Genomic DNA, 4,830 nt, shown 5'->3' on the forward strand with positions numbered 1-4,830 from the left:
ACTCTGATTTAGCCAAGTAAGTTAGCCAGGTGAAAAAAGTAATAAAAGAATGTGGTTCCAATGGAGAGAACAGCATTCACTAATCACACAGGTGAGAAACAGCTGTGTGTGTGTGTGTGTGTGTATGTATTTCTGTGTTTGAATAGTAAGCATCTCTTGATTGTTAGGGCATGAAATGTAAACTCTGCAATAGTACAGCAAGAGACTGGATAGGTGAAAGACACAGAACAAGCCATGCAAGTCTACTATATTGTGCCAAAAGATTTGTGAAATCCACTGAATAATTTTAAGCAGAGAACTAACATGTTTTGACTTGCATTTTGGACAGATTATGATGACTTCAATCTCGGGAACAGATTTTCATGAAACTTAACTGATGATGAGACCATACTGGGCCTTATCATGATTATTGAGGTGAGACATGATAAGAACTTGAGTTAGAGCAATGGTAACAAACAGGGAAATTAGCGGATCAATTCTTGCAGCATTTAGGTGGTAAAACTGGATGATAGAGGGTTGCATTTGATATATGTGTGGAGAGAATGTTATGAACTCTGAAGTTTTGTGTCCCCCCAAATATTCAAATGTTGAAGCCTAACCCCCAGTGCATTGGGTTTTGGAGATGGGGGTCTTTAAGAGTAATTAAGTTTAGCACTTTGGGAGGCTGAGGCAGGCGGATCACCTGAGATTGGGAGTTCGAGACCAGCCTAATTAACATGGAGAAACTCCGTCTCTACTAAAAATACAAAATTAGCCTGGCATGGTGGCGCATGCCTGTAATCCGAGCTATGCAGGAGGTTGAGGCAGAAGAATCGCTTGAACCAGGGAGGCGGAGGTTGCAGTGAGCCGAGATCATGCCATTGCACTCCAGCCTGGGCCACAAAAGCAAAACTCCATCTCAAAAAAAAAAAAAAAAAGTAATTAAGTTTAGATAAAATCATGAGGGTGGGGCTCCCATGGTGGGCATAGTGTCCTAACAAGAAAACGAGGAGAGACCAGAGCTCACTCTTTCTCCACCATATGAGAAAACATCCAGCAGACACCTTCTTCAAGCCAGGAACAGGGACCTTGATATGGTTTGACAGTGTCCCCACCCAAATCTCATCCTGAACTGTGGCTCCCATAGTCCCCATGTGTTGTGGGACAGGCCTGATAGTAGGTAGTTGAATCATGGGGGCAGGTTTTTCCTGTGCTGTTCTCATGATGTTGAGTGGGTCTCATGAGAGCTGATGGTTTTATAAAGGGCAGTTTCCCTGCACATGATCTCTTGCCTGCAGTCATGTAAGACATGCCTTTGCTCCTCTTTCACCTTCCACTGTGATTGTGAGGCCTCCCCAGCTGTGTGGAACTGGGAATCCATTAAACCTCTCTTTATTTATAAATTACCCAGTCTTGGGTATTTCTTCATAGCAGTATGAAAATGGATTAATACAGACCTCATCAGGAACCAAATCTGAAAGCATTTTGATCTTGGACTTGCAGGCCTCCAGAACTGGAGAAATCAAAGTCTGCTGCTCAAGCCACCCAATCTACAGTATTTTGTCTTAGCAGTCTAAGACAGAGGGCGAGATTAGAAACTGTCAAGCTTGACTCTCCCATTTCTAGTTTGTGTGAAGGGCTGAATTTTGGAGGCACAAACTAAACTGGAGAAAACAGAAAGAGGATCATGTTGGGAAAAATGATCACAGGTTTCATTTTGAGCACAGTTGAATTTGAGGTAATGATATCCTATGAGCAATTTCATATATTTAGAAAGTGATACATGACAAAAAGAAAAGAAGCAAAAGCTACTATAAGATATAAGCATGTGTAAATGTACCTCAAATACTCCTATTTATTGTGTAAGATAAAAGGTAAATTAGCCTTAAACTCATTGAAAAGTTAAACAAATATTTTTGCACACTCACCCTCTTCTTCTTGTTGAACTTTGTCTTCTTGGTGGTATTTTACTTTCCTAAGGATGAGTTATTTTGGAGAAGCCTTTACTGGATGCAAGTAAGAAAATCGTTAAAGAATTCTATGCTGGATTCTCAATAGCAACCAAGAAACCAGGGAGAAAACCTGTCTGAAGGGAAAACTTTTTATAAGTTTTTAGTGTGTCTGACTCAGAACTTTTTCTACTGCAAGAGAATGAAACCTAACTCACTCTAATTTAAGAAAGAAAAATGAATTATTGACTCACATTACCAAAAGATCCAAGGATACCTAGCTTCAGTCATTGCTTGATCCAGAGTCACAACAATATCAAGATTCAGTTATTATCCTTTTTTTCTGCTCTATTTCTCCCCGGAGAACCTTTTTCTCATGCCACTTTTCTCTACTTTGGGGCCCCCTAGCAGATCCCTCTTTATATTATCTTAATAATTCTATTAGGAAAAGTCTCTTTATTTTGACTTCCAAAGAAAATCACAGATTGAGTCTCATTGTGCAGGCTTGGGGCATGTGTTTAATCCCTTAATCACTCTTTCCAGTGGGGATGGAATGATTGGTTGGCCCAGCTTGGATCATTTGCCAACAGCAAGTGCTGGCAGAAGGAGAGAAGGGATATAGTTCAGTACCACCGAAATAGAGGAGTGCCCCAACAGGAAGTCAGATTCTGTCAAGAAGGAGGAATGGATACTGGGATGGCAGAATCAACAGCTGTCCACTACAGAGCCACACAGCAAAAATTACCAGATTGGAAGGAACAGCATGTGTGCCTGTAGGTTGTGTCTATTTGAGTGCAGGTATATGTACTCAGTGACAATAAGAAATGTCCATGGCATGGTACCTCTCTTCTGGTCTGTTTCATTTGGGACATTTCTCCCTCAACCCCAGCAGAATAAAAAGATCCTTAGTGTCCCTGGCTCCTGATAATCATATTAGCTCTTAAGAAGCAATCCCTGGTTAACTTCACTCCTATCCTTCCTTCTCAATGTTCTAGTATCTCTCTCTGGAGCTACATATTCAAAACAAATAAGACCCCATCCAATTTAGCATCAGAGAAGCTTAAAGTAACTAATTTTCTTTACACTCACTTCCCAAACATTTGGCACATCACGAGACAATGTATAAATGACAGCTCTTCAAAAGTGAGGAGATAGGGGTTAGGTGCCATAATATGATGAAAGCAATACAAAATTTAACATCTTTTTACGGCTGCTTTTTTCCCTTCACGAAGTCCACACATCCATAATTCCACTCCCTCTTTCATTTCCTTGCTGTCTGCTTCCTTCTCCCATTAAATTAACACAGAGATAATCCTCAATCATGCACAATTAAATGTGAGTAGCTCTCAGACTGGCAGCCTTGCATTCTGTCCCTCTATAAGCTGCTGGGGACCAGAGAGTCTGTGGAGCTGAAACTCTGTCCAGAACTGAAAAGACAATACTGTATTTTACTATATTTTAGTGCAAACATAAAATATAGCAATTAAATTACATGTCAGATGTGCCCTAAGTATCTAACTGCTATTTATAAAATTTAAAATGTATATAATTATTTCTTTTGTTAAATGTCTAAATTCCAAACAATTTAATTTTAGGCAGTACCGTTATAGGGAAGAAAGAGGCGCATAGTACATCAGAAACCATGTGGCGTATAATTGTCATTGAAGATGCGTTTCTAATATTCATGCATAGTATAATTAGAGTAAACATAGAAACTAAGTATCTGATTTGTAAAGATATTTTTTCTATTTGTTTAACTGCTCTTTGTCTAGCACCCATTGCAGTATCTGACACATAGTAGGTATTCCATAATTGTTCATTGAATGATTCAATGAAAGAGAATTCCAAGTGTGTGAGATATGGAGACAGAAACTGTAACTAGAATAACTATTGCAAAAGTTATTTACAAGTAAACAAACCAAAAAACAAAAAGGGAAGAAAAAAATACCACCATGCTGAGCTACAGCTACACCAGTCTCAATTAATAATCAAGCTTCTATAATGCTAGAGTGAAAAATATTGAGAGAAAAAGTAGATTGCTTCCTGAGAGCTTCTGTAATGCTAATAGAATCTTTAGACTCCATTGTCACACTGATGATTCACTGGTAAAAAGCAGGCACACTTTTTTTTGGCCTTCATTATCAGCCCATTTCTGGCCTGATTTGCTTTAGATGATTTAGACTCTGCTGCACCTGAACTGTGACTTTCCATATCAGAAAAGGGAATGAAAGATGAACAAAGACAAAAAATGGAGGGGGAAGTAAGAATAAGAAGAAAAACCAAGGCTATAAAATTAAAAACATAAAAAAATCATAGCAGTCTGTCTACTCTGTGCCTGAGGTTAAAATTTTAAGTATTTTCAGGGCTTCTACTCACCCCTTTACCCCCCAAAAACTTCTATTTTCTCGTATCTAAAGGACATTGCTTTATGGTGTGTGCAGCAAAATAGGTTTTGTTTTGTTTTGTTTTGTTTTTTAAGCTGTCTGCAGTCCACAGTAGAAGAGTCAGGGAATCTAGCTACACTACAATGCTCCTTTTGGCATTCTTCACTGCAACCATTCATTGTGGCAGTAGCTAACATTTGTCAGTTTAAGCCGTAAGCACATCTCTTGCCCATTACCAGACAACTTCAATAATTTTTGAATAATTTTAAATCACTCCAGTGCCCAGGAAGACCCGAGAAAAAGCACAAGCCAAGCTCCTATTTCACAGTATAGCTGCTACTCCTACAACAGACACTGGGCATAAATGAAGTTCTGAATGACCTGTGGTCAGTATGGGAATTTGGAACTAGCCAGGAGCACGTCATTAAAAAAATAATAATAATAAGTATTCAAAGCTAAAGTTACTTTACTTTACCCAAATACGCAATGATAAGACCAGCTGCATGGAGAGCCTCAAG

The 4,830-nt window shown here is 39.0% G+C and overlaps 1 annotated feature.

Annotated features, from left to right (window-relative positions):
- Positions 3,733-4,234: an enhancer, noted in NCBI's record as "NANOG hESC enhancer chr13:59546038-59546539 (GRCh37/hg19 assembly coordinates)". NCBI's record gives its function as "activates a minimal SCP1, AML or CMV promoter by ChIP-STARR-seq in primed H9 embryonic stem cells {active_cell/tissue: H9 hESC(primed)}" and the evidence as "EXISTENCE:reporter gene assay evidence [ECO:0000049][PMID:30033119]".

The sequence above is a fragment of the Homo sapiens genome, chromosome 13 (assembly GCF_000001405.40).
Source record: "Homo sapiens chromosome 13, GRCh38.p14 Primary Assembly".
NCBI classification, from domain to species: Eukaryota; Metazoa; Chordata; class Mammalia; order Primates; family Hominidae; genus Homo; species Homo sapiens.